Here is a 24683-nt window from a genome sequence, read left to right as displayed (position 1 = left end):
CCCAAAGTGCTGGGATTACAGGCGTGAGCCGCCGCACCCGGCCAAAGTTGTCTTCTTTAATCCTCCTGAGGGCGCCCCAGTGCATGAGCTGAAATTAAAGCATAAACGGGCAGAACACAAAGCCAGCACTTCCCAAAACAGAAACTTAGTTTTCTAGTAGAAGAAAAAGTGGAAAGTACATCTAACCATGTACTGTGATGTGTTCTCATGAAATTATTGCCCCACTTCACCTCAGGGTCTACCATTTTACTACAAAGTATATGGGACGTTGGACTTGGTTAATATTCTTCATGATCTAAGACTGTTTGAAATGTTGAGGTTTAGAATTTAATATGTCAAAAATCACAAGCATTTATTAAAGATTAATTATCAATATTAAAATTAGGGAGAATAAATAACCTCATCTAATAATCTCATAATGCTAAATAAATTCAAGAGTAGATTTTGAAACCAAGGAAGATGAACTAGATGATTTATAAGGTCTTCTTGAGCTTTAAAGTTCATTAATGAAGATTATTAAACACTTTTGGTTTTAATATCTTTCATAGAAAATATATTTAATTCTGTTGCCTTCTTGGAGTACTTGCATATCTCCACTTTATTCAGAGGTTAGTATGAGATTCTTATAGCAGAGTTTCTCTTTATTCCAAATGTAAATTTAAAAATCAAAATAACAAAGCTGTAAAAAGACTAGAAATGGTTCTGTTTCCCAGTTCCACTCTAACCCATATTTGAAGGAAAGTGGACGCATCAAATGTGTGTGATCTTTATGTGTAAACACTAACACAAATGGTGGCAGACGCTGCAGTGACTCGAGTGAAGAAGTTTTAGTCAGTTAATGGGTTATATAATCAGCATCAAAAAATCAATTCTAGGCAAACTATACCACTAACTGAATGTTTTATTTTCTGTAATTTATAATTATTCTAGCACAGCCATTGATGAAAATATATCTTAGGTCTCATGTAGATTAAATAAATCTGTAGTACATGGCCTCATCTTTAACTTGTCTTTATGTAAATTTAAAAGAATGATATTTAACTCATGCAAAGTGTGCTTAGTGGAAAAGAAAGTCCTCTGACATGTTAATGGAATGCTGTGAAATGCATTTATAATACATTTAGAAATTCGGTATCAGTATGAAGCAACTAACAGGGGCTTTCACAGGTCATTTAGTTCCTCTTCTTCTTCTGTCAGCATAGTGTCCAAAACATTTATGGAGGTAAAAATGCTACACTTTGAGTTCGGGTTTATAGAGCAGGTGTGTGGAAGTTTATTTTAGGCAAGAAGAAACTTCAAAGAACAGATTGGGAGACAGTGTGAAAAAAAGCAAGTAAACATATTATGGAAACCGATCTTGTCAAAGGTGACTAGATCATACATTGGCCTTCATTATTGGAAATAATTTGGAAATTGGATTCATAATGAAGTTTCCACCATTTCCAGTTAGAAGAGCATCTTACATCTTTTGTATTGTGTTCTTTGAGATACATCTAGCCTTGCAATCTTGTAATATTTACCGAATGCTACTATTTTGCACACATTTTTAAAAATGAAGAATATAGTTGTTACGAATCCCTCCGCAAAACCTCTGATTAGATTTGGCAGAAAAATATGGAGAGATTGAACAAAAGAGATACTAGGTCTGAGATGTATGTATGTTGTAGATCCGTATGGTTTATTCAGGAACTTCAGCAGAATGACTCGAAGAGGAAAACAAAGAAGGAGATGATTACAGATGCTCCAGAGACACTGTCTTTCCGTAACTTCTGTTGTCACCTGTGTTAAGTGTGTGCTGGTGCGGGCTCGCTCTCCTGTGCTCTAGCTCTCTCACACACTTGTGCACAACTTCTGAAAAGACTGCTATGTAGTTATTGTCTCTTCCTTCTCCCCTGTTCCTCACCTTCCATTCTCTTTTCAGCCCATTCTAATGGGACTTTCTTTTCTGACACTTCATTACAGTTGTTCTAATAAGGTTACCAAAGACCTTTAGTCTTGCCAAATCTGGTGTCTTTTCTGTTTTTTTTTTTTTTTTTTTTTTTTTTTTTTTTTTTTGACTTTTCAGCAGTCTTCCACATAACTGACCCCTATCTTGGCTCCTAGTACTCAACACTCTTCTTGTTTTTCCCTCTGTTTAGCCATTTCTTTTCAACATCTTTTGACGGCTGTTGATGCTCTGTTTAACCTTTAAATACTGGAATTATGAAAGGCTGAGTCCTGAGCTTTCTTCTCCTTTCTTTCTCGTTAAATAAACCCTCTCCTTAAAGGATTCTAATTTATTTCTATGACTTTAAATACCCTCTTTGATGCCAATATACTAAAAAAAAAATTGTATCTCCAGCCTTGATTGCTATACTGAGCTCCCGTTCGTATGTCCAGCCATCTACTGGTTTCATCCTCACTTGGATATTTGAAAAGCATCTCAAACTCAACATAGCCAGAGCAGAACTCTTGATTCCTCGGCTCCCTCTGCCACCTTCCTTTTTCTGCTTCTGTTTTTCCCACCTCAATAATTACCCCCAGTCAAGTGCTCAGTACAAAAATCTAGTCATTACTCTTAATTTTTTTTCTGTCACTTACCCCCATCACCACTGAATTCATTAGCAAGTCCTATTAACATTTTCTTTAAAATATGTCTAAAGTCTGTTTCCCCTGCTTTCTTTGCCACCAGTATAGTCTAACGTAACATCATATCTTGCCTGAGCAATCATAGTAGTCTTCCTTCTGTCCTTCCTCCTCCTCCTTCCTTTCCTGCTCCTCTATATTCTTTCTCAGTGGCGCCCACAATGACCTTTTAAAATATGAATTAGGTAATCCCTGCACCTTCCCTTAAAACCTTCCATCGACTTCCATTACACCTAGAATACAGTGTGAATCCCTTATGCTATTTCAGTACTAATATATCTGCCCCTGGGTTTCCTCTCTGATGTATTGCTATACTTTGGATACATCCCCTTGACCACACCTCAGCCACACTGGCTTTCTTTCTGTCCCTTTAACCTACCAAGTTCATTATCAAACAGAGCCCTTGCAGTTGCTAATTCCTGTGCTTGTACTGCTTCGGTCTTCAGGGCACAGTTCAAATGCCACACCCCACCCCAGAAAGGTCCTCTCTGACCACTCAGTCTAAAGGAGCTTCCCATTACATCTACTGTATCATATTCTCCTTGGAGGATTTAGCATTATCTGAAGTATTTTTGTTCACTTACTTGTTTATCTGTTCATCGTCTCTGAGCTTTATGAGGACAGAGTCCTTTTGCCAGTCTTGTTCTCTCTGGTAGGCAGTGTATGAAAAAAGATAAAACAGAACCCCCAAAGAAACCTGTGTGTAGAATGAAAGATTCTCAGAAGAATGCTTGTAAATAGAAGAATCTAAATCCTCTTACAGATGAGAAGTCTTGAAAATGAAAAGAATCCTTCAGTTCTTTTTAGTTTATAAACGAAGCTGATTTTGAAAATAAGCCAAATTGAATGCTATGATGTGATTAAGTTCATCCAAATGAAATTATAGAATTTAGCAATTCCAGCATATTGTAATTACTGAAGTATTCCGTATTGTAAAGGACCATTTAGTGTACACAATTCCAGTCAGCTGTGCTTGTCAGGTAAGGGAAGAGTTAATGAAGAAGGAGGAAAACAGAGAAGGGGTAGTAGTCCTACAAAGTGACTCTAAGGTTAGGTCAAATCTTTGTGTCCCTTCAATACCAATAGTATAGGTATAGGTACCTTCAGCACCTATAGTATAGTCGTAGGTCCATAAGAAAAGCAAGGAGTATTAGGTGTCCTTTCTGGTGACACTGACTCCATTTTCAGTATATACATAAGATGACAAAATGAGCAAATACTTTGTAAAGTGCTATATGCCTCCCTAAAGCAAGAGGTCCAGGAACAAGAAACTAGAATTATGGAGATTGGAAGGTGTCTGAATTTTACAGGAGACTCAGGCTGCCTCTATCTTTTCCAGTTCAGTAGTTACTCCCAGTCAGGTGCTCAGGACCAAAATCAAGGCATCGCTCTTGATTAATTCTTTCTGTCATCCCCTACCACCATCCCCTTCATCAGCAAGTCCTGTTAGCATTCTGAGAACACCTTCCATCTCTGGCAACACTGCTGTCTTCTTGGCTCACTGAATCAGTTGTGAGTGGTCATACATCTGTGGCCCCACGGCTTCCTTATGACCACTTTTCTCCTCACCCTGGGTACAGGAGACTCTCTTTCCTGAGGAGACCTCTGTTCCCCTCCCTGTCTTGAATCAAAGGAGTTGGGCAGATGGGTAAAAGCTCTTTGCTGGAACCTTCAGGAAGGAATCTACAAATTACTGATCTCAGAAACAGGAAATGTGTGACAATGAATGTCAAGGGCTATCTTTATGCTATAGGAAATAAACTATTTAACTTCATCTATCTTCATGCTATAGGGAATAAACTAACTTCATTGGAAAGATTTTCATGTATTAGATGTGAAATTACAATATTAGAGCACATACGATTTAGCATCAAATGTACCGTGATTATTACTGTAGGACAACTCTGCCCCTTCTAAACCGCATGGTGACCCACTCATTATATTCTGTATATTTCTTCAGGAGACAATGAGAGGCCACTGAAGTATGATTGTAGAACATTGAGTTCTTTGCATCCTTCAGTTTATATTAATGTTTTAGGTCTAAACTTTTCTTTTTCCCTAAATTGAAATCACCTTTGACTCCTTTGTGAAAAGAGTAATGATAAAAGTTTTGACTTCTTCTTATCAAGGAGGATTTCATAAATTAAGGAAGGATATATTCATGAAGAATCTACTCTATGACAGGAGCTCTTGCTGATAACTTTTATATATTTTATATAATTCTCAGGAGGACCTTGTGAGTTAGGTCTCACTGTGCTTGCGTGTTCAAATGAGGCAATGGAGGCTGTGAGAAATTAAGTTACTTGTTTAAGTTTACACAGCTAATGAGGCACAGATCGGCTCAAATCCTGTTCTTATTTCTGAGTTCAGTCCATTTTCTGTAATATGGATCTCTCTGTGCTTTGTTCCTTGTCGATAATAAAGTCCGTAATAATACCTGTAATATCTATTTCTTAGAGCTATGATAATCAGATGAATGTGAACACAATACCTATACAAATTTCCAGTTCTATTATGATTATTAGTAGCATTCATTTAACCACATTACCAAAGTGTTCTTTTAATTCACTGGCACTTTATACAGGATTTCTGAATACAACAGTGGATATTTTATCTGTTAGACTCCTTGTAGTTATGTTTGGGTTGCTCTGAGAATGAGTTTTACACCCTTCCAATTGTTGGCAAATAGTCATACTGAAGAAAAACTGCCCATCTGTTCAGATGCTAGCCAAAACATCACAAACAGTCAAAATAGCAGATTCAACCCTATGTGAATTGTGATGAGACAATATAACAGGATATAAGTCATACTGTCATGGGGTCTTTGGGGTGTCACTTTTCTGGCCGGAAACATGTGACTGGTGGTGCCCTTGCCTGAGTTTTGCTTGGACCTGCTGGGCTTGTTCCACCCACTCGCCCTGGCAGGCTGCGCTCAGCTCATGCTACCAGCCTGGATCCCGTGCTTCAAAGGGAGTCTGGAGTCAGGCATGGAGTGGTGAGGGGTGTGTGTCAGCAAACGTGGGGTCCGCCCACTGTGCGGTCAGACACACCAGCTGCTGCTATGGTGTGGGCAGCTCCAGGTGCTGGCGTGAGCACCAGCTCTCTGTGAGGCTGTGGCTGGACCGGGTTCACTGCAAGCGGCTTTCCCGTCTGGCACCGGGGAATGTGGTGACATCCCGGAAACTTGGAGATGCCAGGAACCACAGGGCCCCAAAGAAGGGCTCACAGCCCTGGCTCAGGGAGCTCCCAGGTCTGGGCTACCCGAAGGGTTGCAGCTCCTTTCTCCTTCTCTTTGCCCACAACGTGGCGAGCAAGGGGCATGTTTTAGCCCTGTTTGTGTTACAGTAGCTCTTTTAGCCTCACCATTCGGTGGGTCCTGAGTTCTTGTCCTGTGACCAGGAAGAATGAGGTATGCAATGTGGAGGGTGAGCAGGATGAAGAGGAGCTTTACTGAGCAATAGAACAACTCAGAGAAAACCCACAGTGGGCAGGTCCTCTCCGTAGCCAGGATGTCCCAATGAGCGTTCAGCTCCTTAGCAGAGAGACTTGCTCCCCTCTGCTGGTAGGTCATCCCAACGAGTGTTCAGTTCTCAGCAGAGAGGGTAGCTTCTCTGTTTGGCTAGTTGTTCCGTTGTCTCCAGCTCTTGGCAGAGAGGAGGCCCTAGAGTAAGAGACTGTTCTCTGCAGGCAGGTCGTCCCATCATCTGCAGCTCTAGGCAGAGAGGGTAGCTCCTCTCTGCAGCTGGTCGTCCCATCATCTGTCTGTTCTCTCAGCAGAGAGGAGGCCCCAGAGTGGGTTGCTCCCCTCTGCAGCTGGTAGTACCATCTCTGCAGCTCTCAGTCTAGAGAGGAGACCCTGGAGTGGGTAGCTCCTCTCTGCAGCTGGTTGTCCCAGTCTGCTCAGCTCTGACTGAGCCTGGGGCATTTACAGGCCTCAGAGGGGAGGAAGTTTGCACTGATTGGTCCATAGGTGGCCATGGGTGGGCCGGAAAAGGCACCACAAGTTTCCACTCCATGCCCCGGAACTGGCAGCCCAGCCCCCAGCCTTCAGGCCCTTCCTGGCTTGACAATGGGGCCTCACTGGTGACCAGGCCCCATCCGCCCAGGAACCTGCCTGCCTCCTGCTGCTGTTCATGGTGCCCGGACTCAGCCCTGACTTTGCTCCCAGGTCGGAGTGGGCATCGATAGCAGAGAGAAGCCAGGCAGCTGAAGCAGGCATTTCTGAGACTGTGAGTGCAGTCAGGGGCCTTCCTGGGCCCCCCAAAGTGCAGGGATGTCTGGATCCACAGCTGTGGTTTGGTCAGCTGCAGCTGTGCCCAGGCAGGTGGGGCTCCCACCTGCTTCGTGGAGCAGGAGTCCCAGGTCTGCAGCCATGGTTTGGGAGGCTGCAGGTGCCTGGGTCTGCAGCTGCATGGTGGGTTGGGGAGAGCATGGCGGGTGGGGCGGGTGGGGTCTTCTCCCTGCTCTGTGGAGTGTGCAGGCCCGGCCATTCCTCCTCACTGCAGCTGGTGTGATGGTAGCAGTGGGTCGTCTGGAATGGCCACTACCATCAATATCCTAGTCAACAGATGTGGAAGGAGGTAGTGTCCATTTGGGACAATTTAAGATTTTCATCATCTAAATTTAAGGCTGGGCTTAGAGGAACGTAAATGCCAAAAAATTGCGTTTAGATATCATTATATTTGAAATCAAATGAACAGCAATAATGAAGCAGTATATTTCCCTGACACCCTCGTGGGACTTGCAACAGGGGTGTTCTGTTTACTCACCTGCAGCTCTCAGCTCCTCACAGGAGGGAGTGCATGAGTCAACAAGGTGGGAGGTGGAGTACATGGTCGCTGGAGTCAGCCAGCCACTACGGCACCAGCAGTGAACCCCACTCAGTCGGATCTGCTGCGTTCCACCCCTCATGAAAGGAGGCATGCAGGTGTGTGAGTGCAGGAGCCTGGGTGAGTGTTTTTTGGTTGCTGGCAGGAGCCAACTCTGTGCTTGCCTGCAGCTGCATCTGGGGGCTGGGAGTGCCTGTGACCACGAAAGCCCCAGAGGGAGTGTTACAGTGACCTTTTAGCTCTGCTCTCTGCAGACGGCTTATGCGTTAACAGCTCAATGGGCCCTCTGCCTTTTCGCATGAGGCAGCTGCCTTCTGCTAACGAGGGCAAAGGGTCAGTGTGACAACCTTTTTGTCTTCACACTCATGGCTCCAGAATCTTGTCTGGCATCTGGGAGAAATGAAGTCACACGAATGAATTGAAGGATGATAAATGCAGGGAGTTTTATTGCCAATGGAAGTGGCTCTCAGTGGCAAGGTGAGCTGAAAAGGGGATGGGGCAGGAAGGTAATCTTCCTGTGAAATGCGGTCATCTCTGGCCAGATTCTTCTCCAGAGTTACCCCGTCAGGCTGTCCCTCTGAAGTCAAGCTGCTTCTCTCCGACATCCAGCTGCAGTCTTTGATGTCCAGCTGCTTCTCTTCTCTCTGCTGGCTGGATCTGGGGTTTTTATAGGCACAGGGTGGGGTGGGATAGGGCCACAGGTGGTTTTGGAAAAGGCAGCATTCAAGCAGGGAAACAGGGATGTAAGTTCTACTTTGGGCCATGGTTTGAGGCTTGAAGGTGGGGTTTTGTTGGGGACCACCATTTTCTGCCTAGAATTTCTCTGCCCCCTGTCCCTATCAATAGTTGGAGGGGAAAATCAGGAGTTTTAGTTAAATTAAGCCCAACCTATATAAAAGAGAGGCTTGACAACTCCCAGGCATACAGATAAAGCTATTGGTGCTCTGTGAAATGGAGATCTACATCCCTGGAAAGGGGACAGAATTGACAACGTTGGTCATTTCCTTACCACAGTATCCTGTATTTTCCAGAAGCATGTGATTGTCTTGCTATGATATTCCTGAATGTTACTGGTTTCCTCTTTTTCTAAAGCATGTTTGTTGTGTGCAGAACTAGTATAGCTTCAGGCTTTTGGCTAAGATACCCGTGAGTATTATTGCTTTTTTGTTTTGTTAAATAATTTTTATTGAACACACACAAAATACCTTAAATATAAGGTACAAATAACAGTAAACAAACAACTTGCATAGCAGTCAGCCAGTCTTAAGAAATACAGTGTTGCCACTACTTTTTTTTTTTTTTGAGACGGAGTCTCGCTCTGTCACCCAGGCTGGAGTGCAGTGGCGCCATCTCGGTTTACTGCAAGCTCCGTCTCCTGGGTTCAGGCCATTCTCCTGCCTCAGCCTCCAGAGTAGCTGGGACTACAGCCGCCCGCCACCCCCTGGCTAATTTTTTGTATTTTTAGTAGAGACGGGGTTTCACCGTGTTAGCCAGGATGGTCTCGATCTCCTGACCTCGTGATCCGCCTGCCTCGGCCTCCCAAAGTGCTGGGATTACAGGCGTGAGCCACCGCGCCCGGCCTGTTGCCACTACTTTTAAAGCTGCACAACTGCTTCTCTCTCTTATCTCCCTCTCCACCCCACGAAATAATCACTATCTTGAATCTTATGTTCCTTTCACTGGCTTTTTTTTTAACAGGTTTTCTTGTATGTATTGAAATCAGTTTTTTATGTGTTATAATTTGGTATGTTTTTAACTTTACTCATGTCAGAGTGTACGTATTCTTGTCTACTTTCTTTTTTTGACCTAGTATTCTGAGATTTATTCGTGATGGTCATGTAACTGCAACTCATTCAGTTTTATCGCTGTATTGTTTTCTATGAATGTACCATAGTTTATTTATTTTCTGTTTTTAACTGTTACACATATCATTGCCATGAACATTCATGTATTTATCTTCCATTGAACATGTACAGGAGTTTTTCTTGGATATATAACTTGTAATGGAATTGTTGGGCCATGAGTATGCTTATTGCAACTTCACTAGATAATGTCAAATTGTTTCTGAAAGTTGACTTCATTCGTACTGAACCATCTTCACCAGCATTTGACATTGTGGGATTTAAAAACTGTTGCCAATTTTTACATTAGCACTTTAATTACAATTATATTTATCATTTCTAGATGGTATTTTTTTTCCTAGCTAGACATTAAAAAATTTTCTTTATCCTTCCTCATATTTTCAATCTCTTATTCCTTTAAACATCTTAAACATATTTACTTTAAATTCTGATAATACCAAATTAGAAACTCTTTGTGAGTTGATTCAGCAATATAATACTTCTGCTGAGTCTTGTTCACTGATCTTTGTTTCTTTGTTTTCTTTGTGAGAATTTTTAGTTTATTTATATTTTGAGACAGGGTCTTGGTCTATTACCCAGGCTGGAGTGCAGTTGTACAATCTCGGCTCAGTGCAACCTCTGCCTCCCGGGCTCGAGCGATCCTCCCATCCCAGCCTTCCAAGTAGCTGGGACCATAGGCACACATCACCACGCCCAGTTAATTTTTCGTAGAGACAGGGTCTCCCTACGTTACCCTGGCTTGTGATTTTGTTTTTTAAGCTGTAAGTTCACACTCTTTAGAAATTCTTTGAGGCCTGGATTGAAGGTGTATTCACCCTGAGTGAATTTGCCTTTTGTTTTGATGGATAACTAAGGCATTAACAACCTTGGATCCTGCTCAGGTTAATTTCTGGGCTTGAGGTTTCTTCTCCCACAAAGATAATATAAATTTAGGCTACAAGCTTGGTTAGATGCCAACTTCTGCTTATGAGTCTAGAAAAAAATTATCCCCCTCTGTCCAGTATTTAGGGTCTAGATTGAGAACTTCTTTGCTCTCCCTTGTGTGGAATAGATTTTTTGTAATTTACAGTGATTCTAACTCACAGCATATAGTCCTTGGAAAATCCTAGGTCTGTTCAGGAGTTTGGTTTTAGACTTTCCAGTCTGGATGAGGCCCACACACAGCCTCCAGTGCTTTGTGCCCACGTCTCCGTCAAGGGGAAAGTTCAGGATCCTCAGGTTAGCTAAATGTTTCTAGTGAGAAAGCTAGCTTCAGAGTTTACTTACTGGCCTGGTATCTTTACTTGACTGTAATACTCTAAGGATATTTCTTTCTTATCACTTAAATCATGAATTTTATTTTAATGTTCTCTTTTTAAATACAACTTCTTTTATGCCTTTATTTTTCTTCATTTTTTATTATATTTTCAATAATGCAGAAAAGGTGAAGGAATACAACCAGAAATTTAGCACCTAGATTCATCAATTGTTAGCATTCTAAAAACAAAGACGTTCTCTTTTATAACAATGCCATAGCACGTCTTAGACAATTAGTAACAATTCTCTAATATTTTCTGTAATACCTAATCCATATCAGATTTTCCCACTTGTTCCTAGGTATCTTTTTTGCATATTTTTCCCCAAATGAGGGTACAAACAATGTACTGATGCATTTAGAAGATATTTGTCAGTGCGTCTATCTGGGTTGTTGGGGTCACCATATTGTCCAATATGGAGATGTATTTTATTGTTTGGCATTTTCCTGAAGTCTGCTTATGAGTTTTTTTTTTTTTTTGAAATGGAGTCTTACTCTACTGCCCAGGCAGGAGTGCCATGGCGCTATCTCGGCTCACTGCAACCTCTGCCTCCCGGGTTCAAGCGATTCTCCTGCCTCAGCCTCCTGAGTAGCTGGGATTGCAGGTGTGCACCATCACGCTTGGCTAATTTTGTATTTTTAGTAGAGACGGGGTTTCACCATGTTGGCCAGGCTGGTCTTGAACTGCTGACCTCATGACCTGCCCCTGTTGGCCTCCCAAAGTGCTGGGATTACAAGTGTGAGCCACCGTGCCCGGCCTTGAGTTTGTTTTTCACATTAGTCCAGAGTGCTCCATCTTTCGCTCTCTATTCGGTTTCCTTGTGAGTTATTGACTGTTAGAGTATACAATAGAAAAAATATTTTTATGTCCCTTTTAAGGAATTATACCTTTCAAGTGGAAGATACACACTGACTTTCCTCCAAATAGTTACACATTTTAGATTTTTGTCGTGTCAGTGGACTCATCTCAGGCAGGATTACACCCCAGGGCTTCCTTTAAAAAAGGAAAGTGACATTGGCTTTACGTAACAGAAGCAGTTTGGACATTTCTTTGGACAGTTGAGTTCCGCTGGCCCCTTTCTGTGGCATGCTGCTGCTCAGCCCAGCTGCATGAAGACAGGACAGAGAACGATGGCCACTGAGAGTGATCCAAAGTACTCTGTGGGAGAAGGCAGATGGATAAATATTTTTTCTTAAATGCAAAGCTAACTTAATGTTACTGCCCATTACTGGTAACTTTCTTTAGGGCTTAAGACTTGAAGAATTTAATGTTGCCTGACAAAGTTTTAAGATGGCTCAGCATTAAAAAAAAATGGTGTCTTTGAACAGTAATGAGCGCCAAGTAAGAAATATGGGTGTGCTGACTCTTTTTGATGATCTCAAAGTTATTTATTTAACTACATGCATGAAGCCCCAGCGTGTGTGTGTTTTTCTTTGTCACTGACTTCACAGCAGCTCAGTAGGATTTTAAATATGTATATTTTATATTTTCCTGCACCTGCCCCATGACAATATACATAGACCATGCAAACAAAGATGTATTTAGTGAAGAGATTGCGAAACTGTTTTATTACTGTCCGGATCTCCATTGGAAGTGAAGCTGCTGTTTCACATCCTCTTTAGGCATATCTAGCCGCCAGCAACTGTGCAGATTAGAATCATGAGCTTCTCTTCCACATGCGTGTGGCCATTGTGGTGATGACCGATGAATCATCGCATTTCAACTGGAATGAACAAAAATAGAAAGCTCAGCAGCAGCATTTTTTAGAGAGGTAAAAATCTGCATAAATAAAGAAAATTAAGTGTTTCCATGAATTTTACCTACTAGAAAGTGGAAAAATGTATTTGATAATAGAGCATATATATAAGTTTTATAGTACTGCTAACATAAACATGAGTGGATAATTTTGGGGCTCAGCAAGTTTAGCTGCAAAATGGCTTTGCTATTCTCCATTCCTCTTTGTTTTAATGATCATTCCTCCATATTCAGAAGATTCTGTTTCTTGATTTTTAGGACTGTTCCTAAATATTCCGGTAGCTGTCTTTGGAAGACTGAAAAAATATTTTCTCTTGTCCTTATAGAAAATGCTGGATAGGGCAGAACCTTCTCTCTTCCTGAAAGAGGCCACTGATCTAAATTGGTTTCTCTCTTAGCCTTACTTCTTGGAGGCATACTTATTATGTATTTACTTACTTTGGCATGCTATTTTAAAAATTCCTTGGTTTTTATTTTAAACAATTCCTTCATATATTTCACTTAAATAAATGAGCTGATACTATGAGCTTCAACATATTGGTTTCAAAACTCATCTCTTTGTCTTTTTTCCTTTGTTTTACCTCATATACAGTTAATTGACAGTTCTGTTCATTTTTCCTTTGAGATATCTTGCCATGCTTGGTTTACCATTCCAGCACAGAGTACACAACTCATAGCTGGATTGCTATGACATTTGTCTCCTCTTTGGTTATCTTGCATTCTTTTACCAAATAAAGCTTTCACAAATGTATTATCTCCCTACCATTTTGTGACCTGGGATGTGAAATCTAATCTCTGACTGGATTTCTAGACTCCTCTCTTGTCTTTTTCAACCTTATCATCCACAACTTGCCATTGTAAAGACCAAGTTCCAGTGTTCCATTAGATCAATACCACCATTTCTGTAAACAAACAGATGCAAACATTAAGAACCACAGTCTGGCTAATTCTGGAACAGTACCTAAAATATTAAACCATGACCATCTTTTGCCTGTTGGTGTTAGAAGGGAGCTTTTGGTGTTACGAGAGAGTCACCAAAGAGGACAGGTTATGGAAGCTAGCTCTGCAGAGCTCTTGATAGCAGGAGTTCACAGAGATTATAAACTAGGAAATTCAAGGTGCTTCAGAAAGGTTCTTCTTGAAGGAAGAGAAAGAACTGTGTTCAATGAGAGAAAGCAGCAGAAAAGCACACTAAGTTCGTTCTTTATAGGCAAGTTTAAAACTGGGATTTACTCAATGGCCGATGGCCATTACAGATGCTAAGATATTCTCAGGGACCATGAGAAGATCATCATGCTGAAGTGAGAATGGAGCCAGGGAGGGGAGCATCAGAGTGGGACTGGTTTTGACCTTTGAACAGGGCCACTGTCCTGGCGTGGAAGTGCAGTAGACAGGGCAGGTTGGGTGAACAAACCAGGTAGCTGAGTGTTCCCCTGCCCTTGTTCTAGCAAACTTGGGTGTGCAGGGCCTGAGAATGTTCTGTTGACTTCTGCTGCTCTGTTTTGCTCATGTTATTCCTTTGCAATGGGTGCCTTTCTCCTATCCATTTTCTCAAAGATCATATGTGCTATAATGGTGGAAACACGGACTTAGGAGATAACCTGACTCAAAACTCACTGGAGTTTTGTCTTCTTGCGGATGAGCTGGACCCTAGCCAATGTACTTCACCATTCCAAATCTTCAGTTTCCTCCTTTGATAATGCAGGTATTAACATACATGCTGCTGTGTAAGCATTGGAAAGTCTGGCCCTTGGTGTTTGGGTTTAGAAAAGTGCTTTTGTCAGCATCCATAGTCACAGGTAACTGACAAAAAGAGCATGTGATATCCTGTGTATCTGTGTCGACATCATATGAGATTGAGGAAGGTTGAAAGAATACTAATTTCCCTTGACAGAATTCTTTTAATTTTATTCATTTCTCTGCATCCTTCACTCTTTAGTTTATCTGATGGTAGAGGGTTAGCAGTTGTAGACAGTGTCATCACCTGCCCTGGATGATACTAGAGCTCCTTTTGTAGACAGACTATATATTCTGACACCAGAGAAATGCTGTACCTGAAGGCCCCATATCTTCTGGAAGGACACTGAAGGGAGAGCAAGTTACTGAAATCCATTTCTCATAACCCAAGAACGTCCTGTCTACATTTGTATGCCTTGTGCTTGGTACATATTTGTTGTTTAGATTAACTTAAATTTTATGCTTTCATTACAGCTATTCTCTGTGGAAAATATTAACCAAATTTATTAGATCTTTATGGAAATGAAAAACTGCTGGTCTAAAAATGCTTGGGAAACTTAAGAGTACTATCATTCAACTTGGCAGTACTTGATACCAGTGAGGGTTGAAGTTCTAAGTTGAAATAAAACAGATCGGTTAATAGGAAGTCAAATGAGACTGATAGATTTTATTTGTTGGGACATTTTTCGGTGACCAAATATGCAGTAGACAGTCAATACAAAAAACCTAGAAACGCATAGAAAAAATAAAGAGAGGAAAATAAAAATCACCAAAAATCATTAGCATTTTCATTTGTTCCACTATTTTATCTATGCATTTATGTATTGGCTGCTTTTATGTTTTTCCTGTTAACATTATAGGAATTATTTCCTTTCATAAAATATTCTTGAATACCCTAATGGTACTCATTTATCATATAATTATTACCATTATGCATTTAATCATTCTTCTAATATTGAACATTTTAGTATTTATTATTTTAAATGTAGCAGAAATAAATATCTTTTGTTGGCATCTTTATTTCCTTGAAATAATTGACTAGATATACAATTACTGTGTCAGCATTTTAAATTTGCATATTTAAAAGTTTTGTTGCATATTGCTAACTATCTTTGAAAAAGTTGATTTAGTTTACCAGCCCTGTGTCTTTTCTGGCACATGATGCATTTTTATGTCGCTACATCCTTACCAGTATTGAGTGTTTTAAAAAAATAAAAGCTTTTGATTCCGATTTACTCATTTTGTCTGTTGTAGATATAATCCACCTTAAGTGGAATATTTGTTGTTACTAAATACTTGAGTGATTATCTGAGGTAATATGTATTCTTCTGTATTTATTTATGTGACTTTTTTTTTTTTTACCACAATCTTGTACAGGGATTACATTTTACTCATCTTTATGCTACCCATAGAATTTTTACACAGTAGATATTCAATAAACATGAAAAATAAATATCACACAATATCCACCTTGTTGGATTCCACCACTTACTAACATATCTGCACGTATATACTTCAAGCAAGTATCAAGTTTCTTTATTGGAAGATGTCATGTAAAGTTCCCAAGTCTCATTTTTGGTTTTATATGAAGAATCTATTCATTGGTAGGACATATTGATAAAAATTACTACCTCTTCCCCCTTTTATTTGTCTCCCTCTTGTGTACTTTCTCTGCCTTTTTCCTAAGGTAAATATTGGTATTGTCTATATGCTTTCATCACAGGTACAATTAATTTAGTAGAAACATTGCCCATCTGAAAGAATTATATATTGTGGTATCAGTGGAGAGATGTTTATTTTTTTTTAACATTTTGTTGTTATTGGTTAATAAGAACATGACCAAGACAAGAGCTTTAACAGAGATGTGAGATGTGTATTCAACCAGTCTCTGAAAATCATTTGCTTTTTGTGTTTTATGGCAGTACCTTGTGGATCTGCATTTAGAATGATAATTCATGCTAACGACTTTCATATCCCATGAGGTAGCAGAAATCAATGCTAAAATGGCAGAATGAAACGGTATAGCAAATAAAGTCAATGAGCTGTCAAAGAATTTTTCTTCATCAAACAAATCCCAAAGCACTGGTGTTATACTGACCTTCCCTCACTCCTCTTTCCTGGATTCTTAGACCAATTTGGTTCATGATTTTTTTTTCCTATAATAGAAAAATTAACAAACATGTTTGGTCAGTGAAACAGAAGGTATTTGAAAATGATACCTTGGAGCAGTGTCTCAATCTTCAGGAAAATGGTGAAGAGGAAATACAGCATTGATTGCTGTTGCTAAGCAACGGCTTTCACAGCAGACGCGCCTGGGACAGTGGTGGTGTCTGCCAGCACACCATGCGGGGCCGAAAGCAGTGCAGCACTCATGTTTCTGCGAAATCAGAATTGAAGCCCTGCATTTCCTCCTTCCTCTCGACTTTCTCTGATCAATACCTGAGAAGTTAAGATCGTACGGTCAAATATATAGACTGTGAGAAATTTGGAGCACCTTGGGGATTTTTGGAGAGCTGCGAATGGATTTGTAGAGCCAATTCTGTTTTTTTTGTTTTTGTTTTTTTTTTTTTAGTTTCGCCCTTGTTGCCCAGGCTGGAGTGCAGTGGCACAATGTCGGCTCACTGCAACCTCCGCTTCCCGGGTTCAAGTGATTCTCCTGCCTCAGCCTCCTGAGTAGCTGAGATTACAGGTGCCCGCAACCACGCCCAGCTAATTTTTGCATTTTTAGTAGAGACGGGGTTTCGCCATGTTGGTGAGGCTGGTCTTGAACTCCTGACCTCAGGTGAACCACCCACCTCGGCCTCCCAAAGTGCTGTAGAGCCAATTCTAAAGGAATCAGAATTCCTATTTTATATCAGAAGTACTGTTAGTTTTCTCCTTCATGCATTTATCCATCCAGTCATGCCTATGTTCTCACATATTTAGGGAATATTCAAGGCACCCTGTTACACTTAAGAGCTTGGCATCTCTTACGTTGCTGACATGTGCACTATGCGTGTGATGGTAGGCACCATTGCTGCAGGGTGGTGTAATGGAGAGCATCCTCTTAGGACTGTGACTCTCAAACTTTAGGGCACATTGGAATATCCTGGGCAGATCATTAAAAGCTTTCTCAGCCCCACACTTGGTGAGGTCTGTTACCTATTTCCAGACCTCTGGAATATGTCCTGTTACCTGAGGTCTGGAAAGTAACTTAGGAATATGCATTTTAAACAGGCTCTCTAGGTGATTCTGATATTGGTAGTAGAAGAGCCATTCTTGAGAAATACTGAAGTCGAAGAATTAGTGAAGATTTGACAGAGTTACCAGATAAGATGTCATTTGTCAGTTGTAATTCATGAACGGGGAGGCTACTAACTGTAGTTTTACCTGTTCAGTCTGTTCCCTCCCAGGTTGCCTCTCCTGTGTTTCCATCTTGGACTTGCTCTTGATTCACTAGAGTCAGACTAATTTGAGTTCTTTCCAGAAACTGGAATGTGATTATTCCTTAGTGGGGAGGGGTAGCCCCCCATCACTGCTTGGGACTCATGCAAGAGCAAGAAATGCAAGTATACAAAAGTACCCAAGTCTTGATCTCAGTGTTCTGCAGTACAAACCACTAAGACGGAAATTTCAAACTGCCTTTCACTGAAAACAAAAAGCAAAAGAACAAGGAAACATCTAAATCAACCAGTTACCTTTTTTTTTTTTTACCCCAATGCTGATAATATTTCAGTGGTCTGTCAGTTATGAATCTGACCAGTCCTTTAATAAAATCTTCTATGCTTATAAAGCTTAAGTGATTTTTGCTTATACAGTCTTCTAATAGATAACTCTTTTTTTCCCCCTCTTGTTATATATACCCTGAATCCCAGTTTTGGTCTTAATGCAGACCATGTTTAAGATCTTGGCCTTATGCCATTTTGTAGTACAGATAAATAATTAATGGTTTTTATTAGTTTGTATAATTCATTAACCATTCATCTATCAAGCTGAATGACTTATAGATGGCTTTTACATTTCAAATTGTTCAGAAGTTATTAAGGTCTGTAATTTATCATCACAGCCATTTCTGACCTCGTTCTTGGTCCCTCACTGGAATGATGTTCATTGAATGTGTATGACACAATATGAAGAAAATTAAGTTGCACTAAAGACATTACCAATATGAGTAGGGAGGCTTAAAATGTTGGCAGTAATCAATAGTGGGACTTAATTTGTATATTCTGTGATGGAGACATTTTTATTACATTTATATTTTTAAAATTGATTCCATTTTTAAATTAGTTGCCCTCATTTCAGACTATACTCAACAGCGAAATAATATATTTTCTGAATCTAAATCATCATATATTATTTGACCTTTAGCTGAATCCAGTAGTAAAGATCAAAATGAATTATGCTTGAGTGGAAAGAGGTTTTAATGTTGCTTTACACTTGGTTTTCCCCCATTCCACATGCTGTTTAATATTATTGATTCAGCTTGAATGATCATGAGCCCAAAAACTACTTTAGTTGGTTTTGGCTAATGCATTCTTGGATGCTATGGAAGTGCCTGTAACACCTGAATGGTTCTGCGTAAATAGTCACGCATTTTTATACCGTCCACGAGAGGACATGCAACGTGATTGCCTATGAGCAGCAGAGAACAGTTTTCTAGACGTATGTTTTTCCCTTGGTACAAACATGTAGCTTCCGTTAGCCCTAATAGGAGCTGCGTGTTTGCATCTAAGAATTCAGTATTTAGAATATGACAAGCAGTGAGTATTTGAGGAGTTATTACTGAACCTTTCAAATAAGTTGAAAGGCAGACATGATTTTGAGTACTGGGGAAGTGTATTAATCCCTTAGAAGTGAACTATTCAGAATATTTAACTCTATTATCATGAAGTGTTAGTGAGTAGGGAACTATCCACATGTCTAGATTCCTTTCAGCTTAATAGTGTCTCCATACATTTTACAGTCATATCAGCTCCTCGTAATGCACTTCACCACGTGAAGTGAATGAAATAGCCTCAGTCTTGTTCACAATGACTGGGCCTTTCAAACTCTCCTTATTTAATTTGCTGGCATTATGATGGCTCTTGCAGGACCTCTGTTGCAGAATCAAAATGTGCATGCAGAGAGACAGCTGTGCTTTGATTTAGCCTATGAGATAATAACTATCATTCTAAAATTGTCTTACATCATATAGACACAAATTTCAAATCTCACCTATTTTCCCAGCTCTCTCTTCAGATATGACTTTGCTAGAATGAGGCATATTCTTCCTTGTCACTCTTCATTTTTAAAAAAATTTTGAGAATGTAGATTTACTTCTACTCTGGCAGTTTGCACATCTTGGTTAACTAGACCAATTAATGCAAAAGAATAACCCCCAAATTTACTGCTCCCCAGGTTATTGTCCAGTCCCTGTCTCTTATTAATGTGATTCCTGTGAAAACTTGAGATTGAAGAATATAGTGAAAAAGTACCATCTACCCCAAAAGCAAATCTAAAATGAGAAAACTTTCTTAAGCAAATTCTCCCCTACCAGGCACATGTGATTTATTTTTCTTCCTTCCACTTAGAATTGAAAAAACATGATTCATATCCCATCGTTGTTATAATTTTGTAGACTTCAGAGCTTTTCTTTTTTCTTTTCTGTTTTAGTTAAGTTGTACGTTTCTTTGTATGTCCTTTTGTCTTTTACTGTTTGTAAGTGTCCTTGATAGATATTACCATAATGGCCCTTTCCTTTAGCTTATACTCCTATGTTATGATTTGTTTTCCACATCACCTTTATTTAGTAACTCCCAGTCCATTGACCTTTTTCACTCCTTATGCTGTATTTAGATGGAAATAAGATGACACGTACCAGTTCCATCTTGGAGCGCTAAGAGATCTTCAGGCTCACAAACTAAGATTAACCTACTAACATGGGCCACTGATAACGATGAAAACGTGGAAGGAGAGGCAGTGTAAGTAAAAGAGAAACCTGCATCCAGACAATAAGTAATGAGGATCTGATGGTGATAAAGATGAATTTAAAAGACAGGAGTAAACATATGAATGACCTACACACAAGAATTCAGATTTTCTGATGTTTTATGTGTGGTACAGCCTATTCATAGAGAATAGGTGTGTCAAATAACACATATTTAATTTTTATATCCAATATCCAGTATCTTTATAGAAGTGACTACTCATTATTATGTTCATTTTAGGTAATCTGAAGTCCTAAAACCTGCCTTATACGTTTGGCATAGAATTGTGTTCCCTGGTAATGCCCACTAATGAAATGTTTAGGGAACTCAACTGTGTTCCTTCAGAAGCTTCTGAGTCTGCCATCACTTTCGGTGAATCAGTGCTTCTGAAAAGTGAATTCAATAATTAATACGAGTTATTTTTCTGTGAATTTAGCTTTTTACAGTTGTTAAATCAGCTGAGCTGTTATACAGTTTATAAAACTATATTAAAATTTAATATGATTACTCTAAAGTGGCTAAGGTTTTAAAGTTTTCCCAACTTTTTCAGAGCTTTATTAAAGCATTAAATATAAAGTGCTCTCTTAGCCACAGTATGACTAGTTATTTATTGGTTAGAATGACAAATCTACTTGTCTGAGAAGATGCTGAGTTAGAAGTTCTGTTCAGACAGTCCCCAAATTGCCTTTATGCAGCACAGTGGATAAAAATCTGAAAACAGAATTGGTTATTGATTTTTGTTTTGCATTGGTAGCAAGAGAAGAATAATACTGTAACTTTTTTTTCAAGCATACAAGTTCTGTACATAATTTTTCTCTGTCATTTTTGTGTGGCTTTTGGTACCACTAGAACATTCCATATGACCCTAACTCTATTTCTTATATTTCTGTGAGATTCTTTGAGTCTAAATACCTCTTTATTACAAGTTTCTTTACCCATGGGATTCCTGTTGCTTTTACTTAAGAGATAGCCCAGAACTCCTCTTACATTCTTTTCAGAAGTGTTCATGTTGGTTTATGGTAGAATAGATTTCAATGTAGGTTTCCCTTCCTTCCTTCCTTCCCCATTTTGATGTTTAGTTATATGTCATCTGGATTAATTTGTTTTTCTTTTTTTAAATTTATTTTAGGCTTAAGTTGTATCTAGATTTTTATAAAATACATTTTAAGACTACTCTTTTTTCCCTAGTATTTCCACATCTAATTGAAGTTGTCCTAAAAACAGTGGAGGAATATTATTTTATTCAATATTTTCTATAGAAAGCCCGATCCTTGCCACACATGCAGCATCAGGGAAAGCCTCAGCTGAGACGTGGAAATTGAAGACAGCATGATGGGTAATTCATCACACCAGTGAATTTAGTATTTGTTCACCCTTTTATAGGCTTTAATATTGTGATCCCCACTTTACATATGAGGAAGTGAAGATTTAGAAAAGTTTAGTAACTTGCCTTAAGAGTGTAGCAGAACTGGGAAGTTTGCTCTTGTTGTTGTTGTCTTTGTTGTTTTTTGAGGTGGCATCTCTCTCTGTCACCCAGGCTGGAGTGCAGTGGCACGATCTCAGCTCAATGCAACCTCGCCTCCTGGGTTCAAGCGATTCTCCTGCCTCAGCTTCCCGAGTAGCTGGGACTACAGGCGCTCGCCACCATGCCCAGCTAATTTTTGTATTTTTAGTAGAGACGGGGTTTCACCATATTGGCCAGACTGGTCTCAAACTCCTGACCTCACGATCTGTCTGCCTTGGCCTCCCAAAGTGCTGGGATTCCAGGCGTGAGCCACCACGCTGGGCCGGAACTGGGAACTTTTAATCTAGTCCTGTCTAATTCCTGTTATGCCTGGATTGAACAAAAGCAGAGATGTATGAGAGTGAACACTGTCCCTCATATTGTGCTTTTCCTGTGGCGAGTTGTGGCTAGACTGCGCATGACTGTACTGGATATTTCATGGGAAAGGACTCCAGGAGGGAGACCATGCCCACATTTATAGTGAAAGAAAAGAGGGTTTGGAGCACTTCATTGGAACACTGGAAGCTTCCTGGTCAAGAAAATAACTTTGTTAGAAAGAGATGACACCTAAGTATTTTCTTGAGCTAATTTGTGATAGCTGAACTGTATCTCCTTGTAAGGACCACCCTAGGTTTCTGTCTTCTTACGTCTAAATTCCATGCCTCCTTTTAAGTACAAAACTTCTTTTATTGTCATCTTCATAGACTCCACCCTTCTGGAGTAATTTTGACAGTTCATAAGTGAAGTGACAGATGAGAAGAGGCTAAATTCAGTGTAGTTCGGAGTGGGTTCAAAGGAACCCCCTCCGCAGAGCAGCACACTGGTATCTCAGGAATTAAGTCTGGCTCTCAGGCTAACAGATGTAAAAGATAGTTCTGGCCTGATGTATTTCTCCTGCAAATGAAGTTATGTTAGAATAGTTTAAAAATTAAAAGCCAGGAGATTCTGAGTCAAGGCCTGAAGAGTTTGCTTATGAGTGAAATTAATGAATGAACATTAATCACCTATTTTGACAATTCATAGAATTTTTTTCTTACCTTCTGATGATTGACTGTGTTCTAAAATGTTAAGCATGCAGATAAATGGACCTTTTGGGTAAATGACAGAATGATATCAGCATTTGTCTCTTTGGAAGCTCAATTGTGCCATTTGAAGGAAAAGTGGGGATTTTAAGCTGTCGTGCCATGTAAGAGTATATATGTGACATGATGGTCCAGAATCTTGCTAAACCAGTGAAGCAAATAGGTAAATTAAGTGGTGAGCTTTGACAAAGGTAAGATTCTTTGATTTATCATTCCTCCATTTCATTGGGTTGTTCTAAAGAAAGAGTTAAGCCAATTTATTTAGTAATCATTTACTGAGCCCACATTCTATGCTGGACACAGTGCTCAGCACTGGAAATATAGAGACACAGGATCTGCTTTCAAGGAGCTCACACTTGAGAAGGGAAGCATGGCAGGTAAGATATGGGGGCTTCAGCATTAGCTGTTTAAGTGGGGTCTGGGAAAAGGAATTGGTACAAAGAAGCCTGTTTTCATTAATGTGAGGATGAGTGACAGGTCAGGAAATGGGGAAAGTAAATTTAAGAGATTATAGGGAAAAAATAGGGGAAAAATAGATTATAAACCTATTTTATTTGGCCCACTTACAGTTTTTGGGGGGAGTTTCTGTTTTTATTATCAGCATATAAAACTTGGGAAATTACATATAAATATATTTCTGGGTTCTCTTACAAAACACAGTAGATACCCTGGGCTCTGTTTTCACACCTGACTGAAGTTAGCTGGCAATGGATAGTGATCTCCACCTTTAGCAGGCACTGGTACTCTCTTGTTCTCCATCCGGTCCACTTAGGATTCTCCTGGCTCCTCTATATTTGAGTTTGAGACTTCTAGTTTAGGGTATTTTCACATCTTGGCAGTGATGGGAAGCAGCTAGATAGGACAGGGGGAAGATCTGGACTAGGAGTGGGTTGTTGGTGCATTAAATATGAAAAAGATTTGAGGATGTTATTGACTGAGGTAGAAGAGCCAGGAGCAAGTGAGAAACCCAGGAGAAGGAGAGTGTGTTCTGGGCTGAACTGTGTCCCCGCAAATTCATATGTTGATGTTCTAACCACCGGTACTTCAGAATGTGACCATATTTGGAGAGAAGGTCTTTGAAGAGGTGATTTAACATGAGGCCTTTAGGGTTGACCCTAGTCCAGTATGACTGGTGTCCTTGTAGGAAGAGGAAGAGACACCAACAGCACATGTGCGCAGAGGGACTGCCGTGTCAGGAGGCAGCAAGACAGTGGCTCCTCCAGCCAGAGAGGGCTCGGAGGAAACCAAACCTATAGATACTTTCATCTTGAACTTCCAGACTCCAGAACTGTGAGAATCAGTTGCTGTTGTTTCAGCCACCAGTCTGTAGTATTCTGTTATGGCAGCTCTAGCGAACAACCATGGGGAGGTGCTGGCGTCCAGAAGCGGGAGAGAATTGATGGAGCAGAGATTGTGTCTGATGGTGGCTGAACAAATCCCCAATATCTTGCACACATCTGGATTAAAGCTCTGTGGATATTTATTGAATTAATTTCACTGAAGGACCAGTGAGAGGGAAACAAAGCCCTGGGGTCAGAGGGATTTGCTGTGGACCAGGGAAGGAAACTGGAGAAAGTTCTTAAGTCTCCAGCCTTTATTTTCTTTTTCTTTTTCTTTTCTTTTATTTTTTGAGACGGAGTCTTGCTCTGGAGTGCAGTGGTGCGATCTCAGCTCAGTGCAACCTCACCCTCCCAGGTTGAAGTGATTCTCCTGTCTCAGCCTCCTGAGTAGCTGGGATTATAGGCGCCCACCACCACGACCAGCTAAATTTTGTATTTTTAGTAGAGACGGGTTTTCCCATATTGGCCAGGCTGGTCTCGAACTCCTGACCTCAAGTGATCCACTATCTTGGCCTCCCAAAGTGCTGGGATTAAAGCGTGAGCCACCTCACCCAGCCTCCAGACTTTATTTTCTGGGCGAAGAGGTGGAGGAGTGATTGGGTTGGATTTGTTACTGTGGTATCACCATATTCTCTCACTAGCCATGGAGGCTTTAGGCTTATGCATAAGCAGGTATCATAATGTATTGAATGGAAAAGGATTTGGAGTA

General features: G+C 40.2%; 1 protein-coding gene across 11 annotated transcripts in view, besides 1 other annotated feature; it reads left to right on the top strand.

Annotated features, from left to right (window-relative positions):
- Positions 1-24683, top strand: part of SMYD3 (SET and MYND domain containing 3) — a 757933-nt gene that overhangs the window by 279903 nt on the left and 453347 nt on the right. The window contains exon 1 of one of the 11 annotated variants that reach the window (XM_024449162.2): positions 2057-7574. The exons of 9 other annotated variants lie outside the window; for them this stretch is intronic. The gene's annotated coding sequence lies outside the window, so the exon portion shown is untranslated. Of the gene's footprint in view, positions 1-2056; positions 12383-24683 lie in introns of those variants that run through there. One more of the 11 variants, XM_047428022.1, reaches the window with a different exon arrangement.
- Positions 6262-7214: an enhancer, noted in NCBI's record as "H3K27ac-H3K4me1 hESC enhancer chr1:246383465-246384417 (GRCh37/hg19 assembly coordinates)". NCBI's record gives its function as "activates a minimal SCP1, AML or CMV promoter by ChIP-STARR-seq in naive H9 embryonic stem cells {active_cell/tissue: H9 hESC(naive)}" and the evidence as "EXISTENCE:reporter gene assay evidence [ECO:0000049][PMID:30033119]".

The sequence above is a fragment of the Homo sapiens genome, chromosome 1 (assembly GCF_000001405.40).
Source record: "Homo sapiens chromosome 1, GRCh38.p14 Primary Assembly".
In the NCBI taxonomy this organism is placed as follows: Eukaryota; Metazoa; Chordata; class Mammalia; order Primates; family Hominidae; genus Homo; species Homo sapiens.
Note: the sequence above shows the minus strand (reverse complement) of the source record. Positions and strands in the feature narration are given on the sequence as shown.